This window comes from Homo sapiens, chromosome 2 (assembly GCF_000001405.40).
Source record: "Homo sapiens chromosome 2, GRCh38.p14 Primary Assembly".
Classification (NCBI taxonomy): domain Eukaryota; kingdom Metazoa; phylum Chordata; class Mammalia; order Primates; family Hominidae; genus Homo; species Homo sapiens.
Window position 1 is genome coordinate 58,965,819 of NC_000002.12, and position 26,666 is coordinate 58,992,484.

The following is a 26,666-nucleotide window of genomic DNA, read 5'->3' on the forward strand; positions in this document are numbered from 1 at the left end:
GCTTAAAATAGCTTTCTGTTGTCCTTGGCAGTTTTTCAGCCTAAAGTCAAGCTTTAACCCTCCTGACAATATTCTTACAGCACTTTTTTATATTCGTTACCCATCATGTTTTCACCCTTCCATTTTGGATATATGTTCTTTTATAGTCTGCATTCAGTAGCTTTAAAAAGAGGAAAAGAATGTCCCTTTCATGTTATATCTTTTTGGCATAATCTGTGATTATTTTGTCTGAATTTTAAAAATAGTCTTATTTTCCCTTTAAAATTATTTAGTCATGAAATCATCTCTCCATTTTCTCTATTTTGATGACTGTTTTCCTAAACTCTAGGATAACTGCCTCTGTCCAGAATTAGTTTCCTGTGAAAATAACAAACTCTAAGATGACATGTCATTTCCTTCCAAGTTGCTCATCACTTTTAATTCACTAACCAAATCTCACTCCTTGTTCAAAATTAAATTCATGTAAAAATTCTCCAAATTGATCTCTCAGCCTTCTAAAGGAATGCAAGTGGCAGAAGGTAGGTCAAGAACTTATCAGAGGGTCTTCGTTTGAAACAGACTTCTGGCAGATGTTTAGGAGAAAAGTTTCCTGTCAATCATTTAACATCCCTCTGTACTACTTTTGTAATTTGCATTAGGAAGGCCTGGGGATGGTAGTCATTCCTTTTCTGAAACAATACCACTTTAACTTTACTCTCCTTTTAACCTAACGTACATGTATTCTAGCATATGCCCTCATTGGGGCCGTTCATAACCATTCTTCCTGGATTTAGAGTACTAAAGCCACATCCTTGTGATAAACTCTTTTGGGGCCATCTAAAATGTTACTCATAGAGCAGTGTATGTCTGTGAGCTGTTTATGATTGGTTTGCAGAAATATAAGTGCAGAAATGGAGAGTGAGCATGTAGGAATTTTTAAAGCAATTGACAAAAATAATCTGTATGTTAAATCTAATAATAAAAACTGAGGATTCAATATTGTATATATTTTTATATTCTTTTTCTAGTAATTTAGTCTTCTTGAATTGTACCAAAGTCCTGGTCTATAACAGATTGGAAATAAGGAAACCGGGAAGGATCACATATGATTCGGAAGCACTACCAGGGATGAGGCCCACACCTGACAAAGACTCTCTGTATATGTCAAGGATCTTATTTAGCTTTTTGTATTAAAGTTACACATTCATTGTATTATTCTTTTTTTTTTTTTTGAGATGGAGTTTCCCTCTTCTTGCCCAGGCTGGAGTGCAGTGGCACGATCTTGGCTCACCACAACCTCCGCTTCCCGGGTTCAAGTGATTCTCCTGCCTCAGCCTCCCAAGTAGCTGGGATTACAGGCATGCACCACCATGCCTGGCTAATTTTGTGTTTTTAGTTGAGTCAGGGTTTCTCCATGTTGGTCAGGCTGCCCTCAAACTCCAGACCTCAAGTGATCCGCCTGCCTCAGCCTCCCAAAGTGCTGGGATTACAGAAGTGAGCCACCGCGCCTGGCCCATTGTATTATTCTCACTCTGATAATTGTTATATATGAAGATACAGGACAAACACATTGGTCCTTTCCTGCCCATCTTCCTTGTGTTTTCTTCTGCAAAATCCTGGCCAACTTATTTACAATTTAATATTCTCCAAATAATACCTAATGATATAGTCTAATGCTGGATTTGAAAGCATTATTTAGATTTTTGCGCCTTTTTGGCTTGAAGTTTAAGTATAGTTTGCTTGGCCTTGGTATTTTTGGCCCCAAGCATTGCTGCCAGTCTTCAAAGAGCCACTTCTCCCTTTGCAGAAGACGCCCTTTCTACTATCAAGAACCATGTTGTAGACAAGCAGATTCTCTTTTGTGCCACCTACATATTTCCCAAAGCCTCCTTGTGTTCTCAGCTAAACTTGGCAGCAGATATCATCCTTCTACCACCTCTATGCTTGTGCCCTTCAGCTTCCTCCTTTGTCTTCATGCCTCTAGAAGGACAGTGACTATGTCTCCTAAAGACAGCACTGATTATCACACGTAATCACAGAAGACAGTGGAATCTTTCCACACATTTTATCCCAGGAAATTCGTTCATTCCCTTTAGTCTCATAACGTCGAAATATGAACTCATGAATGCCTTGGCAGGGAGCCAACCACACCCTCTCTCCTCTGCCTCTTGGAGAAGATGATAAAACTGTTCTAATGTGACTATCCTGAAAATCCTTTTTCTCCTGTATGGGACGAAAGGCAGGTTGTCATTGCCCTTATAGGAATTCACCAGTCATCATCCATGGAAGTAGATGATATAGAGTACATTACCCCACCAGTCTAAAATGTCTTTTAACCTTCTTCATACCAGATTCAAATTTTCTCTGGTTCTGCAGCAACATTTTTTTCTTCTACATTTCTTGTTGGGTTCTATTTTTTTTAATGTCATTACGATCCCTTCATCCTTCCTAATAAGCTGAAACCATAGAATGACACTCATCAAGTGTATTTACCTTCTGCTCAAGATAGAAGGCTCTCTGCATTTGCAGCATGCACAGTATTGAGGGCCTCAGGCAGCTGGACAAATGTCACAGAAAATTCAGTAGCATCGTCTCTGGTGCTAACTCCCAGACATCAACATACATTGCTCCCGTCTCAGCTTCCCTGATAAGGGATTTGCTGTTCCTTTTTATTGTTAGACTCCTGCTGCAGGATTGTGTGTGGTGGTGGTGGTGATGATGGTAGGTCCCTAGTAATGCTGCGACTAACCAGTGTTCTGCATGGGTTAGATATGCATGTTGTACAGACCACGCATTTAATTACTGAACTGCCTTTTTAAAACCAAAGAAGTGCCTACCTGGAAAGGTGACGTTTTCATTGCCTCTCATTTTTCTTTATTCCTCATCCTCCTAACATCTAGTTAAATCAATTGGAATATGATTAGAGGGCTGGGAAGATGAATGAGAAGTGGTTGATTGGAGTACTAAAAACTTTGTGGATTTGTGTAGACTTGGACCAGGGAGCTATAGAATTTGGGGGTACTGGGGGCCAAAGATTTCTGGGTCGAGGCCTGGGTCTCGGGTTCTTTACCCACAGAGGAGGGAAAACTCAAGCTCTGAACAGGAGAAAAGGAAATGATGCTCCTCTTCACATCTTCCTTCTATGAGTTCCTTATCCACTCATCTCACTTTTTACTCGCCTTGTTATCTCATGGTTTTCTGTTTCTTGGAACCAAAGGACAGCCAAAGCAGTTTGGATTTTAGCTCAGCTACGTGATGACAGACTTGGTTTTTATGGGCTAGCCTTGGAACCAAACTACTATTTAAATATTGTTTCTGTGGAAAAAAATCATTACAAATTTGAAAGAAATTTACAAGTTAACTTTTGGAATTAAATAAATTTGTCTCATGGGGGCTGACTGTACAAGATCCATTAAGTATTAGTAAATAGAAATACACACATATTAGAATGCTATATTTCAAGCTTATGATACCTAGTGTTCAATTTAGTATATTTTATTGTCAAAACAGATAAATAAAAATGTCACTTCATAAAAACAGAGACTATAATATTTTTAAAGTTTTTTTAAAAGAAAATTTTATGTAGGCCTTGAAGCTTCATTAGAGCTCTGTATTTAATAATGAAATGGTAAAAGAAGTATGAATTTTGGATGAATAGTTGCAAATCATTGCTATATACCCCCCCCAAATATTTTGTTTCAGCTTAAACATTTAGTTTAAAAATTGTTACAGAAAACAAAAAAAAATGTCTTATTTACAATTTCCAAAGAAGGGATGGGGCAAAAAAAAAAAAAAGTTCATCTATGTTATAAAAATATTATTTGAAAACTTTTATTATGCCTTTTTACAAGGCTGTGAATTTTCTCTCTTTTTTTTTTTTTTTTTTTTTTTTTTTTTGAGACAGAGTTTCGCTCTTGTTGCCCAGGCTGGAGTGCAATGGTACTATCTCGGCTTACTGCAACCTCCGCCTTCCCTGTTCAAGCGATTTTCCTGTCTCAGCCTCCTGAGTAGCCAGGATTACAGGAATGCGCCACCACGCCTGGCTAATTTTATATTTTTAGTAAAGACGGGGTTTCTCCGTGTTGGTCAGGCTGGTCTCGGACTCCTAACCTCAGGTGATCCACCCACCTCAGCCTCCCAAAGTGCTGGGATTACAGACATGACCACAATGCCCAGCCAAATGTTCTTCTTTAATGTGATTTTTTTTTAAATAAAATTCTCCATGTAATATATATATGTAAATCTGTGTGTATGTGCACATGTATATTTCCCAACAGAATTGCTAAAGTAAAAGTGATAAAGCAAAGATGATATCTGTTTCCATAGAAGTATCTTTCTGAAACAAAACAAATAAAAATTATACTTTATATCACTAGTAAAATTTAACTTGATTATCTGAAGACTAATTATATTAACTTCTATTACCTAAAGTGCAGTTTTATTCCCCACTCTAGTAATTAGAGGGATATTAATAGCTGTTATATTCTAATACTTGAGAGTCAAAATTGGTAATGTAGCCTCACTCTGCCCACAATTTAGCACATGGCAAATTAATGATACAAGAGATATTACAATATACAGTTGTCAAAATGTACCTGGAAGCTCTTAGAGGAATATTAGAACAACTGACGACAGGTGAAATAAAGAAAGTCTCAACTTTCTGAATTCAGGAGGATTCAGCAGAATTTCCTATAATGTCACTTTGGGCATTTAAAAATGTTTCCCGCAATTAGAATAGCAACTACAGGTGGAATAGATTCAAAACTGCTTACTAAGTTGTTTGTTATCTATTTCCCTTTGGTTTCCTGAGGCCACAGAGACAAGGAATTGGCCTGAGTTTTCACCTCAAAAACTAAAGCACATTAGTGGTGGCACCTTTTCAGGCGCTCCTGTGTCATTCCCTGAAAATCACAGACATGCCGTCCAATTAAAATTTTACTTTGTGGAAACCAAAGGAACATAGCCCAGGAGCACCTAGGAACCGCTCGTATGCTTGGAGAAGCTAAAAGACTTGCTTACATGGACCACAAGAGGCCTTCTCTGGCCCCTTGAAAATAAACATCTCTTTTGCATAGATGGTCTCTCATAGCTGCCAGTGCTCTGCCAAGGAGAATTGTTATTTTAAATGGAGACTCTTTCTGTATCTGCGGGAAGAATTTATATCCAGTCAGAGAGAATGTAGAGAGCAGTTCTTGTTGCCCATCACATTTTAGTGCAGGGAAGTGCTTTGCCCTAAAGGTGCCAGGTAAAGAGAATTGCCAAGTAAAGAAAATTTATTGAATGCATTTTCCAATAGGGAAGCATAATCTGACATTTTTGTTTCTCGGATCTCAGAAAAATAACTTTCCTCAGTTCTTATATCAGGTAGGAGGACATGCAAAGGCAAAAACGAACAAACAAACAAAAAAACCCATTTGGTCTTAGAATGCATTTATGTACATTTTCTTGTATTTAATAATGTTTTATTCATAATCATTTCATATGCTTTTCTTTTTTCAAATGTCTGCCTGCAGCACACGTCAGGATGCTGAATTTATTAGTGTTTCCTCTTCTCTGGTGCCCGCTCTCCTTGGAACCACATTATCGTGGGTCCATATGATTATTCCCTTAGGACTATCCACTTGAGAGTAATGCAATGGCCTCCACCTCCCAGCCTTTAGGACCGAAGTGATGGAGTTAAAGAATCGAACTTTCTCTTGAAAGCCAGTGGCAGCCCCACATCCACGTTAGGTTTGAGGGGTGGCTCTCCTCCCTGACTGGCTAGTAGGTGAGGTCCTTGGTATGTTCATGCCTTCTTACCTGAAGCCTCTCCCTCATTTTAATTCCAATTGATTTCACCTTAGTTGTGCTCAGATTTTGTGGGTTTGTTCAAACTGCTCTTGGGAGTAACACAAAAGTATTAACATTTTGCTGACTCCAGGACTTTAGAAAAGTTAAGCTTGAGTGAAAAACAAACTGACGGATTCAAATAATACAAACGCACCCAATTTCAAATCATATTCTCTCTTGCCTTGTCTCACAATGCTGGGCTGCCTCCCTTTACAACACAGCTGCAATCTCAACACTCCATTCCAACCCGCTCTGTGACAAAGCGTAAGGTTCCACCTCTGAGCAGGTAAAATATGTTTGTTAGGGAAGGACTGCTCGGCAGTAAGGATGACAACAATTAGCACATGCTACTCATTAACAAACGGAGATTAGAACGCAGCCGAAATGGCAAGCTGCCATCAGTGTGATAGTTACGGGGCAGTTTAATTTCTAACGAATGTGAGTGCTGGATCAGTAACAATATTCGACAAAATGCCGCCTGCATTCTCTTATGGCTTTCATTACCAAATTGAAAATCTGTGTAGATTTCTGAAAATTACTTTTAAATGTAGCCAATCTCCTAGACTGCAAGGCTTGATTTGCTGGTGAGGGAGCCCTGCTGTGAGATTTTAATGAAAGATCATAGTGGCCCTCCAAGGCCAGCAAAGAGCTATGGGCCCTGGAAGACCCGAAATAATCTGTTTTACTTTTAATGGCAGCCATTTTATATTCATTAAGATCAAAATGCAGTTTTGCAGGCAAATTGCAAAGCTGTTCCACTCACAGCTTGAGAACCTGGAGGCCCTACAGCTTTTTATCTTGTTCATAAGCAAATATGCAGTTAATATCTTTTAATATGCTTTGATGCTTGGTACCTTATGGGTACATCGTACCGGAGGTTAGAGAACTGCATGTTTCCTTGGCACAGCCAGCCACGAACTAAAGCGGTAGTCCTTTTATTTCCATAATGGCAGAAGAAATGAGTCTCTCTTTTTTTATCCCCTCCCCATTTTTTAAAAAATATGAGCTCTGCTCAAATAGATTGTAAGGTGCTGTATAGTGTACATTCAGGGTCTCAGAGAAGGGGCAGTTTTTCACTGGGATCTGTCTGTTGGTGGTTCATATTATTTAAATTTATACAGTCACATTATTTAAATGTAAACAGCCAAATAAGATATGATCAAATCATTGGCATCTGGAAACTGTGCTCTCATCCTCTTTGATTGTGAGGTTGTCTGCATTAATAATGGAGTTCTAAAGACTGTGATTCCACCTGATATACTGTATGACCTTAACAGTTGTGATTTTATCAGGGTTTCACTGTAGTAGAAAATGAAGGTATTTTGCAGCTCATTTCCAGCAAACCTAGTTTGCATTATCTTCTGTCCAGAGTAGTCCTGCCTGTTTTGTGTTATAAAATATCACCTCCCCCATTGCCCCCTTTCTGCTGCACAGCTGTACTTCCGGTCTGGAACCATGTTGTAGATTAAATTCCATCAGATTTCTTGTAGAAGGTAAATGGTACTGTGTTTAATGACAAAAGAAGGAAGGAAGGAAGGTCAGGGAGGAAGGAAGGAAGAGAAGTCAGTAAGGTGGGGAGGAAGGAAGGGGGGAAAAAGAAAGGAAGGTGGGATTGAGAGGGGAGAGAAGGAAACACTGCACTTCCTCCTCCAATTCATCAATTTCTATCTCATCTCTAAGACAAGAAATAAGGTTGATGCAAGTGGATCTTATTACTCAACCCCCAACTCCATCTTAATTCTGCCTAAAGCAATAGGCAGGCGTTAGATATAATAGTCTAGAATCACAGGACTCTCCAATACTAACAAAAATAATATTTAAGGGGTACTTTTTGGTAGAAAAAGGACCAGCCAGGTCTATTTCAATTTGCCCAAAGATTTGGAGGCTAGGCCAACAACAAACAGAACTTTTGCTCCTTTACCCAAATTATCTTGGTTTTTGAATGCACCCAGGGCGTCAAAGTCAGTCTTAGAACCAGGGCGGGAATGGGAACCCTTTTTGGTGGGAGCAAAGCTTTCCATCACTATGCAGCATCAGATGAGGGTGTTGTGCTTTTTTTTTTTTTTTTTTTTATTTCACTCTATAGCCATTGAAATTTTAGCCCTCTTGAAGAGCACTGTAGGGCTAGCTAGTTTAAGAATGGGAGTTAGCTTCTTTATGCAAGTTAATACCCATTGTGCTGTCTCTAAAAAATAATGTACGTTAAGACAGCTCCACAGAAAGGCCAGCCTTTGTATCTCCAGGCCCGCCCAACCTTTGTACTTAACCGTGCCCACAGGCATATTATAATATTGTATGACATGTTTACAAGTCCTAACATCTTACTTTGTGCAACTGCATAGCTTCTTTGCAGGCTCAAGAATTCAAGCTTGGACTGTCTGATGAGGGAATTTGATAACCCCCTCTCCCTGGGTCTCAGAGCAAGGTGAAGGTGTCTGGCCTGCCAAGGCACAATTTAATGGTCTTCTGAAAACACTCAAAAGGCAGACATAAATGTGTGGATGGGCAGCCAGCCAGGCTGACCTGGGGGATGGGGCCAGTTGATTTTAAGCAGGGTGAGGTCGGGAAGGAATGTTTCAGACCAGAGCTGGCTGCGGGGGTTGGGGGTGGAGGCGGTCTCTGGAAGCCTGAGGGTTGACTGTAAAGGATTTACAGAGCTCGAACTCGACTCTGTAACCTAAGAGCTCAAGCATTCCCACCTGTCCAACTTTAAAAGGGAAATGGAAAATGTAAAGAACATATAATTAATTTCAATTACAAGCCTCACATATCTCAAGCCAGATAGGCACTGTCTTCATTTCCTGTCAGTTCAATGGGCTCCAATACAAAAGTCACGTAAATTAAATTAAATTAAATTAAAACATAAAATTCCCTCTCACACATCTCTGTTTTCTATTCTTAATGCCTCTTGACAGTTAGTCTTTGATATGCTACTTTTTTTTCTGCACAACACATATACTTTAGATGTCGATTTCCAATCAGTCTTTCATCTTTATGTTGCATCATCCACTATCATGGGACAACTATATATCAAGAATCTTTGGAAAGATGACCAGAGAAGGAATGGGAATACACTTAAACATGAGAGGTTTCATCTATTGTTTATTTACAACTTTATTTCAAAATGATCCCATAATTTTATAATACTTTTTTTTTTGCCTATCTTTGGTATTTTCAATAATAATATGGAAACTTTTCTAGGCTTAATAACCTGGTTTTATTTTGGCTCCATAATTACCTTGCTCTTTTTTTTTTTTCCTCTCCAAAGACATCTCAACGTGTGCTGTGTGGTGTCATTGGCCACAAAGGGGTCACTCTCTCACAGAAGGTGGATTTGCATTTTCATCCAGTGCAAGGGAGAAAGTAATATTGCACACTATTTTCACATACCCATGGTATCAGCAGTGGTGTTACATCACTGCAAGTTGAGCTCTGTGTAGATTCCTAAAAAGGAGGTGTACGTGTGCTGCGGGGGTGCAGTGAAGAATAATGTCACCCTCAGTGAGACTCCGTCAGGGAAAGTGGGAGAGAAAACAATCTTCATCAAAGCTTTTTGCTATTTGGATTTCCTTCGGCTGCCTATTATCCATCAGAATATTAGAATCCATACATAATGGAGTTCCTTGGCTCCTACGCAGTGATGTCCTTACGCATGCAAAAGGAAGTTGTATCTTGCAAATTCCTCCAAAAAGGTTATCAAAATTGCCCTGAAGGGTTGACACAGTCCTGACAGGGATTGTTTTGAAGGATGATGTTATTATTTTTCATTGGTCATTCCACAAAAGTATTAGTAGAAAAGAAAAATTCAACACCTGTCCCTCGGATCTTATTTAGCAAAAAAAAAATACAACAAGATTTCACTTTAACAGGGTCTTTCAGGCAGAAAAATACAGCAGTAACATGTGTAAAGAAAATTTCAATATGTTTTGACAATAGTGTAATCTAGAGGAAGTGTTATCCCCCTTGTGGAGGTCATCATTCTTAATACAGTGTGTGTCATCAATTCTCAGGACAACAGAGAAAATGATCTAGTCAATACATATGAAACAGAAATCATGCATAAACATGCTGCCTTACTATAAAGTGGGTGACACCACTGAAAATTGGATAGCAGGCCTGGATGCAATTTTCCGTAACTTTTTATTATTCATAAGATCGTGTGATCTAATAAGCCACACCTCAAATTACTGTCCATTGAAGGTGTTCTTGAGTGATAGATTTTGACAAACCAGACAGAGGATATATTATGATTAAGATCAGATGCTGGTAGTGCTGGACTTTCTGCTGCTGCTGACTGTTTTCAGCTGTCTTCCATCAATTCTGTATTTTTCCCCCTTAAAAAAGTGAAGAAGCATGAATCCGTGGGCTATGAAAGCATAAGAGAAGAAATCTACTAACTGATTATTCAGTAGCTCTGATTCCAAGTGTCTCTCAATTTAACTTTGATTTTAGGTGGGGGAGGATTGATTTGAGAAAGAACAATGAGGAGGAGGGACATAATATCTGAGTTGAAGGAGACAAATATCCGAATCTCCCATTTAAGTATTTGTTAGAAATACATGGAACTTTAAAGTGGCAGGCTCTTTCTTAAATATTTAAATGGTCAGGGGGAGGAAAAAAAGGTAACACTGCCACCAGCAGAAGACCAACACACCCAAGACGACCCAAACCTTTGCCTAATCACTTTTTGTTAAAATTAATGGTAGGTTTCTAATTAAGCGGCGTGCCTCTGTAAAAGCTTTTAAAAGCTTTTTTTCTTCTTTCTCTCTCTCTTCCTTTCTCCCTTCCTCCCCCTTTTCCTTCGTTCCTTGCTTCTTTTCTTCCTTCCTCTCTCTCTCTTTTTTTCTTTTTTGTCCTGTTAAATAACTCCTATGGTCTAGGTCTGTGAAAAGGACTCTGCCCCTTTAATTCATCAAATGCAGAAAAACTGGCGTAGCCAGTATCTACAAGCCACATTCCAAAGGGAGATGTTTTCAATTCACTCATTATAGAAAGGTCAGTCAGGTTCAAGTTCAATGTCATGGAAAAGAAGTACTCTCTACAAGGAGTACCACCCACACATGAAAAAGTGGAGGGAGAATTAGATGAACTATGTAACCTAATTTTTTGGGCAAATACAAGAAAATTAGCCCTGTGTGCTATTTGAATTTAAAACTACATATTAACAATTCAGCTGTAGAAGGTGACAGCAACCACAACAAAGTAAACACGCTCTCCAAACCACTCGGCCGTAATGATGTTATTAGTATGCATGTTGCTGAGCCCAGATGTAGCCTTTAGCAGCCCAAGCCCTTCCAGTGCTTTTTGTTCTAATGGCTTCAGACTCTTTTTCAAAATGGGGCACTCAGAACCCACCACGAATAGAGGACAGGATCAGAGGATAATTCACACTGGCAAATGGGACATGACCGTCACGTCCGTCTTCACCACATCCCATTGTCTGCCATGATAATAAATGATATCTGCTGGAAGACAACAAAGCACCTGTGAAGAATCGTGGGTTAAGTGGAACTGAGCCTGTGCTGAAACTGAGTTCTGAGAAGTTGTTCCTTTAGGTTGATGGCAAAACAGTTGCCTGTAGATGGGAGAATGAGGCCGCACTAGCGACCTCTCCTGAGTTCTCCCCTGAGTGAATTTCCCCATTGGAAAAAGGATGTGCTGGCCTTCACTTACATGTGCTTGAATAGAAAAATTGTATATATACAATCATAGCCTACGTGCATTCAAACCAACTGCCCAGTCATCTGCGAGAGCCTTCATCTTTATGTTAATTTCTGCATTGCTGCTGCGGGAGTCTTTGAAATGTACAAAAATATGCAAAGAAACCCTGACATTCAGAACATAGAACCTTCAGAAACCACACCAAAAAACAGTGTCTTGGATTAATCTGTTATTCGCTGTTACAGTTAAAGTCAACCGTTTTATGCCATTGTTTTGAATTCCTTTCTTACATATAGTCATTCTCTTTTTAAAATTTTTATTACTATAGATATGTAGAAACAGGAGTTAGGACTGTTTTCTTTTTGAATCAGAAGTAGGTAAACACCGGTAAAGCTGAGAGTGTAGGCTGTGATTTAGTGTAGGTTAACATAGTGCAGAGGGTATTCTGCAATAAAATTTTAAATTAGGGGGAATATATTTACCTCCTGTTGTGTGTGTGGCTTATGAACTATAGGTTTGATATTTGGCAGAATGTGTAAGAACTGATAATTAGGTATGTGTGTGTAGGTAGTGACATTTGTTTAAAACAAAGTACTGTAAAACTGAATTCATTTATGCCTCTTACTTTGTTCAGCTTCTCATAGACAAGTAATAAAATATACCAATAATATCTCACTTTACAATAAGCTTTAATTATAGAGACACCTGATAAAATGCAGATGAGCTATCTGTTCAGGAGCTGTGTGAATTCTAATAAATAGAATTGGTTTTGTGTGTGTATGTCTGTGTGTGTGTGTGAGAGAGAAAGAGTGACAGAGACAGAGACATACATAATAGTGCTGAGATTTTTTGATGGTGGGTTTTTTTAATTTGCGAAATTTTATTGGCTCAGATTATATGTAATAAATTAGAAAAGGCTAGCACATAATTTGTCTTTATTTGATGTGTCAAAAAACTAAGAGAAGTAGTGCCACAGGAAAAAGAAAACTGATGATGTGTATTACTTTTTTATATTGCCATTTGAAAGCATTGTTTTTGTTTCACAAAATAATGTTAATTTGAAAGCAAAAAGCATAAATGAATAATCCGTTTGAAAAATTCCAAATGATGTATTCAGGAGTGTTTGCAAACCGTTGTCCCTTTTCTGCCTTGGGGTGGAATCTAACCACTGTACTTAATTATGCCAGAAATTTCAAATGAAATCAAATGGAAGTCCTTTCCAAGTTAAAGGTAACCCAGAGAAGGCCTGAACTAAGGCCTTTTATCGTGCAAGGTTAGTGTTAGAGCAACTCTGATAATTTCTAGGTTTTTTTTTTTTCTCTTTATTTCTGCTGTATCTCTCAGCAGAGGTTTATTACAATAAACTTGGATACTAAATGAGGCTTTATTAGTTAGGGTTGGGCAGAAAACCAGCTGTAACATAGTGACCCCGGGTAGGAAGCCAGACCAGAGTAATTAAGACATAACATGGTAAGGGGGACAAATAATGAATACACTCAGTGACCTGATGCCGAGCCATGTCCCCTCTCAATGCCTGTTTTTGTTTTGTTTTGTTTTGTTTTGTTTTTGCTTTTGCTTTTTTCCCCCTTTTAAATTAGTAGTTCTCCTGAATTGCCTTTTTATTACACTTCGGTACAGATGATCTCCAAAGTAGTAAAAATCGAGGAAAATATAGGCTAGTGTTGGAGAAACTTTAACGTTTAAAGACAATTCTGTTTATGTGATGTGATTGCTATCATTCGAGACCAGAGGTTGATGATCGTTTGCTCTTCATCATACAGCGTTTCTCTTACCTGGAGGAAGGCTAATTGAATAATATCCTGGGCCAAGCGTGCGTCTCTTCTGAAACGGTCGTATTCTGCTATATCTTTCTGGTTTCTTCCCTTGATGCTGACTCCTTTTGGTTTCTTCCCTTGATGCTGACTCCGTTTGGCCGAGAAAGAAGCCAACAGGGCTCCCCAAGGTCTCAGAAGGTGAGGAAGAACCTCACTATACTCTTTGTGCCATGTTAGACTACCCAATGGAAAGATTACAATAAGGCATCCTCTCATCACAAACTCCTCAAGGAGTCTACATTGGAAGTCTGTGGACACTTCAGGACAAAACGGCTCTCCAGGAGTGTGCCTGCAGTTTTAAATAGTTCACAAAGTTTCCGTGTGGATGCAACCTGACCTGTTCACCCACCCTTTCAATACATTTGCGTTTGGAATAAGGATGTTTGCACTGGGAGATAAGAGCTTTATTTTTAAAATTTAAAAAACCTGACAATTGCTATGGCCTTCCAATCTTTTTAGTAATACTTGCTCTCCTTCTGTTGAAATGTCATTGGTTAACACCTTTGCAAATCTTGAAGTTAAATGGGATCCTTACTCATAATTCCAAATCTGACACAGAGTAGGTACTTAACATAAACTTATTAACTAATTATCTGTCTGGGCATGTAAAGTGATGAATTAAGGCAATTATCCAAATAAAGGAGCCCAATAAAATGCAAAACAAATGTTCCAACAAAATCAAACAAAGCATCTACATTCCAGTAATGAATGTTAAAACATTTTGCTTTTTATTTTCTTGACTTTTAAGACTACTTACTTCAATTCTCCATTTGTTTATGTATCCCAACATAGCCAAAATATTCATGAAACATGATACACCTAAGAGAGATGTTTTTATTTTTTTGGCAAGACTTTAAATCATTTGCACCTCAGTTTATTCTTGGTTGAAACAAAATCTTCACCAAGTTCCTCAAATAGTAAAGAATTACTAAGTAAATTCTAGCCTAATGTTAACAGAAGAAGAGCTATGAATGAGTCCATTACAGCTCTCTTAAGTTGTCCATTTGCTCGACTTCAGGTGTAAAGGTTTTTTTTTTTTTTTTGGTTTGTTTGTTTTGTTTTGTTTTTTTCTGAAAAGATTGCCTAGCTGTTGTGAGGGAGCTATAGTATTCTCAAAAATGTGTCATTTTGTGTTATGAAAGCATTGGCATTTCTTTTGCCTTCTGTGAATCATATAGTAGTTGGCATCCTGAATTAATCAATACAAACATTCTGCATCTAATGACAGTTTATTCTAGTGGGGTAAAAGTCCTGGGAAAAGTGAAAGAAAGAATTGCCCCTATTTGATTTTAAAACAACTCCGTTGGCTTCTCATCGCATTGAGCAAAGGAGATATATTGTAGGATCGCTGCTTTAAAAGCTTCTTTTTAAAAATTGATGTGTTTTAACAAATTAGATAAATAAGATACTTGTAATGGTACCTAACATTTTCTTCCTCAAGACCTTTAATATAGCATAGTTTTAGCTACAGCATAGTATTTAGATGAGTGATTTCAGGAAATTTGTAAGAGTTTTCTCTATATTTGCAACTTTTGCTTATTATTAGCATAATGTATAAAAAATTTAGCTCTTATGGAAAGAGGGTTTGCATCTGTCTTCTTTAATGGCTAGAGCAAACACTCATGCTTCAGAAGAAAGGACTATGGTTGTGGGTGGTGGGGAATGGCTACAGGAACTTTGCTTCTGTTTAACAAAACAGAATTTCTTATTCAACCTGAAAATAAATGTTATGATTTTTCTTTCCCTAATCCTTTCAATTTCTCCTGTTTTGCTGGGTTTTATTTAAAAGTCAGGCTCAGGAAATTCAGAGCTTTGAAGAAATAGTTTGCACATACTTTGAGTAAGTTAAGAAAGTTTTCCTCTTTCTGGTTTTAAAGTGAAGGTTAAAAAAAAAAAGACATCCCCACAAACTGGAAAGAGGTCCTTGGGCTAAGTCAGACTCCATCCACTGCTTAGCTGAAAACATAATGTAATCTAGAAATTTATAATGATAAAAGTTACATTTCCCCATCAGACCACTGTTAAAATTGCAAAAAAACCTGTGTATTAAGCACATAGAGATTGTCCCCTAGAGCATGTTACAGGTAACTTCGAATAAAGGCAATTGCTGCTGTGGTCTCAAAAGATGGGCAAGTGCTCTTTTCTTTGGAAGATATTAATGCTGATGCAGTAAACATTTTCGGAGCGACTTTCCCAGAGTGGAGTCCTTTGCTTGTTCCCCGTTCATGCTCTTGCCTGTTCTTTGTGCTTGAAAAGAAGAAAACTGACAGCATATAAAGAATGGTGAATGGAAGATGGACATAAATCAGAAAGAAGGAAGTGATTAGAGACAGACCTAGAAAACCGTCTTCTTTCCCGATGACTGCCTTGTGAACTAAGAAAAAAATACATCTATTGGCTCCTAGAAGCATCGTGTATGAATGAGTGTGCGTCTCATCTACCCTTTTTTAATATTTTCTAGCTTCTTAAAAAACACATTTTATTTTTAAAATTAAATAGAAGTTTTAGGTTTCTTTTAAAGGTAAATGGTGTTTCAAGGCATTCACATTAATCCATATCAAAGAATAATATAGTTGGAAAGAAATTTAAAGATTATCTGGCAGAACATTTTCAAGGGATTTGGGAGGAAATCAACTATGTTTAGGTTTTGAGAGCATTTTGATCTATCTATCTAACACCTGTCTGTTATATACATAAACATACATGTGTATATATGTATATATGTAATTAGTGTGTGTGTGAAAATTATAAGAATCGTCATGTACATCTAGCTTCTTATCTCCAGTGACTGCATGGAAAACAGCAGTGTGCAGATAGTGGATACTGTTGGCAGCTCCAGAACCACTTGCCACCCCTCTCCACCTACCTATGAGCTCTTAACACATTCCCTTGCCTTCTGGTTTCCAGTTGGGTTTAGGCAACAGAAGCATGAGCAGTACATTTGTAGGACAGGAGGGGAGTGAGTTGGAGTATTTACTCCCCTAGTCTTAATAGGCCACAATTTGTCAGTGGCTAGGAGAATAGTATACTACAATCCATCTAATCATTCATTAAATAAACATTTGTTGAAGCCCACACCATATCAGGTGTTGAGGACACAATAGAGGCCAAAGGCATGAGATCTCTGTTCACAAAGAACTTGTTTTAAAACAGTATCTTTTCTGATTGCTTTCATTTTTAATTATGACATATTTAAAGATTTTGTGACTTACCTTTCACAGAAAAGTTTTTTTGTTTGTTTTTTTTTTAAGATGGAGTCTCGTTCTGTTGCCCAGGCTAGAGTGCAGTGACATGATCTCGGCTCACTGCAACCTCTGCCTCCTGGGTTCAACCGATTCTCCTGCCTCAGCCTCCCGAGTAGCTGGGACTACAGGCACACACCACCACACCCGGCTAATTTTTTGCATTTTTAATAGAGATGGGTTTTCACTGTGTTAGCCATGATGGTCTCAATCTCCTGACCTCATGATATGCCCACCTTTGCCTCCCAAAGTGCTGGGATTACAGGCGTGAGCCACCACGCCTGGCCCGAAAAGGACCTTTTTTAAAAGAATTGGAACAAAAAATGTCAAAAGCAATTGTAAATGTTAGTAGTAATTTGATACATTGATGGCAAATAGATTGTATATACCAAGGAACTTGCTGCTTAAAAAGAAAAAAAAAAGAAAGTAAAATGAATTTTAGTTACTTTTCAATGAATATTTGAGTAGCCAGGATACCAAATGAATTAATAAAATAGTAAAGCGAGGCGTGTAAGTTGGGAGATTATATTTCTTGTCCGGAATACTCTATACTGTGTGAAACACATGCATTGAACTAGGTTCTAAGATGAATTAAAAACTGCAGATGAGCTTTGTTTAACACTTTCAGGTTGTTTTGATGGAGGAAAGGAATTCATCATTCATAGGAGAACTTACTTGAGTTATAGATTTGACAACTAAGACTGAATATACATAGTGATAAAACATCTGCTCAAGTATTGTCAAAAGCTCAGTCAATTTTGTGAAGAAATCAGTCAAGCCTGTTGCTTGGTGGCATGTAGACAAAACCACCAACTGATCGACTGAGTTTTTCACTTTTGAATGGGTTGTTTGGCATCTTGTAGACCCAGCCTATGATTATACTGCCATCTGTATTCTTTCTTACATCAGGCTTATTTCAGCCACAACTTATACATGCTGTTTTGAGAAGAACTAGTCAATATTTTGGTTTGTCTTTAGCTATAAGAGCGCCGTAGACAGTCTTGCGTGAACTTGGCTCTGCCTTGCTAATTCTCTGTCAGTTCTGGCAGCTATAGGAATTTAAGTTCATGATGTAGATATTTGGATTCCCCTCAAAATAAAAATAAAATATGTAAAATAAAATCTTAAAATAGGCTGCTTTCCTTTGACAAAAATACCCAAATTCCTAGAAATGGCCAGCCATAGTCAATATGTGTATATATATGAGAGTATAATTTTAATGTAAAAACAATACAAACAGAATAGAATATTTTGAAGTTAACAATTGCTCATGTTATCTTAGTTCTCAAACTACATGAAGCAATTGAATAAATCTTCCTTTTCCAAATTCAACTGTTCATAAATGCTTTTGCAACTCTAAGATACTATGTGAGGCTGGTAGAATTGTTCACTCAAAATTGGAAAATAAAATATTACATGTTTTTTGTTTTGTTTTGTTTTGTTTTTTTTACTAGCACTATCACAACTTGCAGTCTCAAAATGTTACAATGACTACTGGGACCCATTATTTTTTCCAAACATCTAGGCTTAAAAAAGAGTGAAAGTTTGAGCTTTGGAAGGCAATGAATCGTGAATGAGCTTTTGCATAACCTTCAAACTGCCCTCCGATTTTAATAGGCGAGAGCTGCATTGAAACATGTTTCTCTATACATACACCTGAATCAATAGTATCTTGTCTTTGTTTTGTCTTTTTTTTGTTGTTTAATGAAAGTTGGAAAAGTGATAAATCAAAGCAAATGAGGAAGAAATATGTAATTTTTATTTGATCAAGTATTAGAGTGGGCAGATTTAGGTTTTGTGGACCCTGAAATGTATACAATGTGGGAAACCCATTTTTTAATAATGTATAAAATTATAAATAAAACATTAAACACAAAAGTGAATGTTTATTTAAATGAGAGGAAAAAGGTCTTTGGAAGGAAGATGCTTAAATCAGGGAACCTAAAACTTGAATTTCATTAGTTTTACAATACAGCTAGTGATGAAATAACAGAACAACAACAATAAAAAAATACCTGGAGTTTGAGGCATGAAAATAATTTGTCACAAAGATATGATTTATGATATCTTACATTTAAAAATCTTTTGAGTACCCATCATTCATAAATAACACTTATATAGGGTCATCTGGGCTTCTTTTTTCCGTTGTTCCAGTAGAATCTGAGTTAGCTGACTCTATTATCTTACAAAACATTTTAGAATCACTAAGTAATGACCCTTTAAACACAAGGAGACAGGAGCATATTACCGGAAGAACTGTGCTGCCCTTAGAGGAACTGTAAAGGAATAATTGAGGGCTGAGAGGCCACAGATTTTTGCCTGATGTGTTATCGGCATAGTCAGTTTACAGATAAGTAAAATTAAACCCAGAGAGGAGAGGCAACTTGCCCAACTTCCCACAAACCACTAATGGCAGAGGTGAGTTTAGAAGCTGGACCTCTGGACAGCCAATCCAGAGCCATGCCCACTAAGTCTGACTCCACATCAACCTCCCATCTTCAGTTTTTTTTCACTGAGACCACTTAACCACCTCATAGTTGTAGTCACCACTTCTGCTCTCCAGACTAGCACTCTTAGAACTACCTGGTGAATTGGAGTGTCTCCTTTTAGGTCGATGTGGTACATGTCTAGTTTGTATCAACCTTCTGAAAATGTTATGGTATTTACACTTACTTTCTCTGACCACTGAAACCACTTGTGGCTGCATTGCATTCTGGCAGTTGTGAGTAATGTGATTAGCACAAACCCAGGTACATGATTCTCTCTTTTAAAATATTGCTTCCAGTTATTTCTTTTATTCACTCAGACAGACATGGTATAGGATTCTTGAGACTGTTTTTCTAGCAATTTAACAGAAATTATCTGTCTTATGAAAAGTAACTAAAAATACTGGTTTAATATAAAAATACATAGCATATCAATGATATGGTAAGAAGGTTAGCAGTTTGCAGATGTCAAAAACTAAGTGAAAGTACAAACCCAGAGAGCCAAGCAAAACAGTGAGTATGATTTGTGTTCTTAGGATACTCATCAAACCAAGAAGAACTTGAGTTTTCTTTTCACATCTTCACAGGTCACAGGAGATGGAGGACTAGTACCCACAAGGGAAGGAGATGACATCTCATAGGTAACCCTCCCCATAGATCTGGGACCCCAAACAGCCATCCTCTAAAAGTAAATAGAAATGTCACCTTCCCCTAAGGGATCAGCAAGACAAATTGCTCTTCTCCAGCCTTGACCAGAAGAAAAAACTCTTCTCCAGAAATTCATACTACAAGCCAGTCTTCACTGGCTAGGTTTGCAGATAGAGTCCACAGCACTTGGGTGTGCTCAAATAAAACTAAAAGCGTGCATTTAATTAAAGTGATGCTGAATCAATAGGCTCTCCAGGCACGTAGCAGAAGCAAATGCAAATCCTATTTAAAGGAACCTCTTTTCAATCTAAGCCTCAGTAAATTTGCATAAACAAAGTACTAAAGAATATGAATTCAAGTTCAATCACAAAACATACAAACAAAACAGTAAAAAACATGAGCAAGGATAATGTGAGCCACAAACTTCCTACTTTAGAAACATATTTTAAAAGAGTATGGGATAAAGAGGTTTAGCATATCTAATGAATTAAAATAGGGGATACAAATGAGTAAAAAAGAGGAGTCACCATAAAAATGACCAAGCAGGTATAAAAATAACCAAAGAGATCAATGGAAGAGACACTATAATAATTGAAATTAAAAACTTAATACCAACCTTCTAGATTAGATTAGATATAGATAAAAAGAGAATTCATAACCTGGATTATATTTCTGAAGAAATTATCTGAAATGCAGTATAGAGAGACAAAGACATAGAAAACATCGCAGAGTTATTAACAGATATGGAGGATAGAGTGAAAAAATCTAAGGCATGTATGTACTTGGAGTTTTCGTAAGAGAAGAGGTAAGCAGCATGTGAAAATAAAATGGCTGACAATTTAAAAATATTAATTAACAACATCCATCCTCAGATTAAAAAAAAACCAAGTAGGATAAATGTAACCATCCACATTTAAATATACAATAATGAAAATGGATATCACCAAAGATAAAGAGATGATTTTAAAATCAGACAGAAAAGACAAATTATCTAAGGATGATGATTAAAATAACAGTTGACTTATTAGTGGCAACAGAAGACAAAGAGAATAGAGTAAAATTTTCAGAGTATAGAAAGAAAATAATTGTTGAATCTAGAATTCAATATTCCACAAATATTTTTTAAGAATAAGGGGGAAATAAAGATATTTTCATCAAAGAAGTCTGAGATGCAAGGAAGAATGATGATCAAAGAAAGTAATAAATATGTTTGTAATCAAAACAAACATTGACTATATAAAACAATAATTGCCACTTTTAAGTTTATGAAAGAAAAAAGTAATATAAAATAAAAATACATAAAGCAATAGTGCTTAAAGGGAAAATATTATTAGAGTTATAGTGTTCTAACATCATTGATTTGTTCAGGAGGGTGAAGATAATGATTAGCTTTACAATTTCATAAGTTAGCCTGCGTGTTAAGATTCCTAGAGCAGTCACTAAGAGAAATGAAAGAGTGTTAAGTAAAAAGAAAAAACAGAATGAGAAAACATATTCAGTTAATTCAAAAGAAAAAAAATAAAGCAAAAACAAGTATAGAAAAGGTAGGACAAATTTCAGTTTGAAATAAGGTAGAAATAAACCTAAATATACCAGTAATTATAAGAAATGTAAATGATTAAATAATCCAGTGAATGACAAAGAAACATATATAACACACAAAAATGTAAATAGGTTGAATATGAAAGGATAGGGAAAGGTATCTCATCAAATACTTTCCAAAAACAGAAAAGAAAAGCAAAAGATGTAAGTACAGCTTGATTACTAGACATTAAGCTAAAAAGGATTATTCAGATTTAAAAGGTAACTGTGTAATAATAAATGATTCAATTCACATGGAAAATATAAAATTTTAAAATGTTTGTCTCCTAAAACACATAAAGCAAAATCTTTTCCTCTAAAACAGATAAGGCAAAAATGAAGACAAACAAGAATAAATAAATTTATTATCATATTGAAACATTTTAACAATGCCTATCACTAACTGAGAAAAATAAATCAGTAAGATTTGGAATTGAACCAGGTGTAGTGGCTCATGTCTGTGATACTAACACTTTGAGAGACGGAGGCAGGAGGATCACTTGAGCTCAGGAGTTCAAGATCAACCTGGGCAACATAGAGACACTTTGTCTCTACAAAAAAAATTTTAAAAATTAGTCAGTCATGGTGGTACGCGCCTGTAGTCTCAGCTACTTGGGTGGCTGACATAGGAGGATAACTTGAGCATAGCATATAGAGGCTGCAGTGGACCATGTTTGTGTGACTACGCTCCAGCCTGGGCAACAGAGTGAGACCCTGTCTCAAAAAAAAAAAAAAAAAAAGATGAAATTAAAAGACAATTTGCAAGCTTGATCTAATGAACCTAAAAAGAAGATTCATATTTTTCTGTTCTTTTTCAAAATGTAAAGCTCAATCTCAAATGTATATCATCACCACATAATTCTGCAAGAATCTCTAAAAATACACAGCCTTGTTTGTACATGACTGAAACCAAAATTATGCCTGATAAAATTATGAATGATTTCTTGGTATTATCCAAAATCCAATTCATACCATATGAAAATGGTCATGATTGTTTAAATGTATTTTCCACTTGGTTTATTGGAAATGCAATCCAAACAATTGCCTTCCTCTTTACTTCTTCCCTTTTTTCATCAGGCCACTGAGTGGTGGAAGAACTTGGGTCAGTTCTAAAAAGTGTCTCACATTCTCGATTTCTCTGATTGCTTCATTGTGGTGTTAATTAACTCATTCCTTTGTCTCCTGTATTCTCTATAAATGGAATTTAACCCTGAACTTGATTAGATTCCCTTTCAATTTGGGAGTCTTGGTTGGGGGGAGTACTTAATATTACATCACAACCAGATGACACCACACTTGATTGTCCCTCTGTTTGTAATGTGAAGATTGATCATTTGGTTCATTTGGTCATTGCCTGATCCCTTCACTCTTAAGTTCTCCATCAAGCTGGGTGTGGTGTTGCACTTGAAGTCCTAGCTTCTTGGGCAGCTGAGGCAGGAGGATCACTTGAACTCAGGAGTTTGAATCCAGCCAGGACAACATAGTGAGATACCATCTCTTTAAAAAAGAAAAAAACAAAAAGTAAAAAATAAATAAATAAATTCTCCATCAATCTTTCTCTTAATAGTGTCATCCATGATGACCATTGTCTAAATCCATTATTTCATTAGGTTTTTCAAAATGACATTTTTTATTTTCAAGTACATGGAGAATATTTGCGAAAATTGAAAATATTTTGCTATAAAGCAAGGATCCAAACATTAATGTATATTCAAGAATTTGTATCATACAGACCACTTTGTCTTGTCACTGTGAAATTCAAATGAGATTTTTTAGAAAGATAACTTGAAAAATGTCAATACTTTAAAATTCTATTTTAGTCAACTTTAAACATAATATGAAAAAATGTAAAAGCAAATTTCATTTTTAAGCTAAAATTAAAAATTTCTAATCAAAATATTGGAACACTGACATCTAGCAATGTGTAATAAAGTGGAATTCTTTTCAGGAGGAAGATTGATTAAACATTAAGAAAATCACATAATTCAGTTTACCAACCTAAGAGATAAATGGGAAAAAAAGATGGCATGATTATATTAATAGAGGAAGTAAAAGCCTTCAATAAACTAAACAGCCATTCATATTTTTTAAAGAAAGAAAACATAAAAGAAAAGCACTTAGCAAAGTAAAGAGAAAGGGAAATTGTATTAATCTGATAAATAGTAACCTACAAAACCTAGTACTTTACAGTACTATGGTGAAAGAGTTGGCTTTAACATCATAAAAATCACAAGGGTGTCTGCATCAGCAATTCTGTCTGACATTATATTGTGTGTCTTAGCTAGTGCAGTAAGGGAAGAAAAATAAAGAAAAGGTATAGAAGAGGCTATATGATGTAACCTTTAAGGGTTGGACCAGACTGCCTGGATTTAAATCATTTCTCTATTGCTTACAAATTAAGTAATGAACAAGCTTAACAAGCTTAGTAGCTAAGTATTTTATTCTATATGTGCTTCAGTTTCCATAATGGAAATAATAATACCTACCTGATGGGAGGTTATTAATGTTAAATTAGTTAATATTTGTAAGTGCTCAAAATAGTGTCTGACATGGGAGGGAAACAACACACACTGGAACCTGTCAGGGAGTGTGGGGAAAGGGAGAGCATCAGAAATAATAGCTAACAGATGCTGGGTTTAATACCTCGGTAAGGGGTTGATCTGTGTAGCAAACCACCACGGCACACATTTACCTGTGTAACAAACCAGCACATCCTGCACATGTACCCTGGAACTTAAAATAAAAGTTGAAGAAAACAAACAAACAAACAGAAAATACACCAATAAAAATAAAAGTGGGATCACTAAAAAAATAAAATAGTGTCTGAGACATGATAGGTACTATATGTGCCTATTAAATAAGTATAATAGAAAGAAAAAAGGAATTACTCATCACAGATGATAAGACTATGTAGAAAACTCAATAGCAATATAATATATTAGAATAAATTAGATGGTAAAGCAGGTGTGTTGAATACAAAATCAACACATAAAATTAGTAATTTACTACATACAAATAAGTAATGTTGAAAAACACATTTTAAAACAGATAAATTTTACCATGACATAAAAAAATCAGGTGCCTAGTAATAATTATAACAAAATGTACATATGCTATTTGTGGAAAAATAAAGCTTTATTGAAAGAAAATAAGAAAATCTAAATAAACAGAATTATACCATGTTCATGGATAGGAAAATTCAATAGTATAAAGATGTTAATTTTTCCTAAATTGATTTACCGAATTGTGACAGATGATTTTTTTCTAATATGGACATAGCCAGATTAGAAAGTTGGGAGTGTGTGTGTCTATGTTCATCCCCTTGAATTTGATGAGCTATGGTAGAAACAATAATATTTGGTACTAAGGCTAGGTCATAACTATTGATGTGATTTCTGCCTGTTCCTCTTGGGACTCTTATTTGTTCCAGAAATCTGGTCTCATTGTCATGAGAAAGTAGAGAAATCACGTGGATAGGATACGTGAAGCAGTTTTGAACAACAGCCCTAACTGAAGTTCCAGCTGACATCAGCTTTCACTTCCAGATATATGAACAAATTATATATATGGCCACCATTAGACAAGAGCCACATGAGAGACCCTCAAGAAAGAACTGCCTAATTCATCTCAGTTAACCCCCAGAACTGTGAAATATAATAAATAAAAATGATTCTTTTATGTCATTAAGTTTAGAGTGATTTATAACAAAACAATACATACTTAGAATGAGTCAAATTATTCTGCTTAAAATTCCTACTTTTTTTTTTAACTTGCAAGCTAATTCTAAAATGATAGATACACCTAAAAAAGAAAAACAAAGTGAGGGGTCTTTCCTTTTCAGACATCAAAATTTATAATAAACTAAAAAATAAGTTAGGTGATATTGCCATAGGGATAGACAAATAGATTAATTGAACAGAAGAAAAAAATTACACTGAAATCTAGCAGTAATGATGTGGAATTTTTTTCCAGAGGAAAGAATTAATAAACAAGGTTTACATATAGAGGCTAACTTAATTTATTGGCATGAAAATTAGAAGGGAAAGAACAGACTTTAATGACTGGTGCTGGGGAAAGAAAGCAATTATCCAATAAGAGTGCTTTATAACATTTAGAAGATGATACAAAAGAAAAACATTTACCTAAAGCTGTTCAATGAATGTATGTTGAATGATTAAAGTTACTATAAGATTCCCTTATGAAGTTTTATTTAAATTTATTATATTTTATCTGCCCAGCTTTTCCTGTGGCATAATTGTTACCAGAAAGGTGCCCAAATCCAGACCCCAAGAGAGGGTTCTTGTATCTCATGCAAGAAAGAATTCAGGGCGAGTCCATAGAGTAAAGTGAAAGCAAGTTTATTAAGAAAGTAAAGGAGCAGCCCCGAGGGCTCCTGGTTGCCCATATTTATGGTTATTTCTTGATGATATGCAAAACAAGGCATGGATTATTCATGCCTCCCCTTTTTAGACCATATAGGGTAACTTCCTGATGTTGCCATGGCAACTGTAAACTGTCATGGTGCTGGTGGGAGTGTGGCAGTGAGGATGCCCAGAGGTCACTCTCGTAGCCGTCTTGGTTTGGGTGGGTTTGGGCTCGGTTCTTTACTGCAACTTGTTTTGTCAGCAAGGTCTTTATAACTTGTATCTTGTGCTGACCTCCTGTCTCATCCTGTAACGTAGAATGCCTGTCTGGGAATGCAACCCAGTAGGTTTCAGCCATATTTTACCTAGCTCCTATTCGAGATGGAGTTGCTCTGGTTAAAACGCCTCTGACATAATGGTTTAATTTTTCAAAGTATAGAATTATAACAATTATCACGATATTTTAAACTTGGAAGTAGGAACTTCCTAATACTAAAAAAAAAAAAAATCTATTGTCCCTGTGGTTTGGACACAATATATCTTCGTTTTATTAGAGTCAATAATAAATACTATTGTCTAATAACTTATACTCAAACTCATAGTAATTTAGCTTATAAATTCAGAGTGTCACTTTTAAAAAGTTAAGTGGTCAAATGATGTTAATATTTTAGGTGTACACTCTTACGTGGAAGTAGGAGATTTATTATTATCCTGCCTATATATAAGTCCTTCAAGCAATGAAGGAATGAAGAGTTTGCTGTGCCTTTAATTTTGGCCACTCACTACATGATGATGCCTCATAAGGGAATTCCTAGTGTGCTCTTCCACTCAATACAAACATAAAAACAATTTCAGTTGCAGAAAATGGGAGGACAGTGGAGTACTACTTATCCACTGAACTCCATTACCATCTATAGCTGCTTTGAATAATTGACCTCACTTTTTTTTCTTTTTGCCAGAATTAGTTGGATAAATGCCTTAGTTTTCCATTTTACGTAATCTGTGTAGACAGAGCCAAAGAATCCCTCCTCCGCCAAACAC

At 36.4% G+C, this 26,666-nt stretch overlaps 1 long non-coding RNA gene across 1 annotated transcript in view, besides 1 other annotated feature; it reads left to right on the forward strand.

The window, feature by feature from the left end:
- The window catches only part of LINC01122 (long intergenic non-protein coding RNA 1122), a 543,014-nt gene that overhangs the window by 445,066 nt on the left and 71,282 nt on the right, over window positions 1-26,666 (forward strand). The window lies entirely within an intron of this gene.
- Window positions 5,952-7,576: an enhancer, noted in NCBI's record as "VISTA enhancer hs393". NCBI's record gives its function as "enhancer in: eye[6/12]" and the evidence as "EXISTENCE:transgenic organism evidence [ECO:0001131][PMID:17130149]".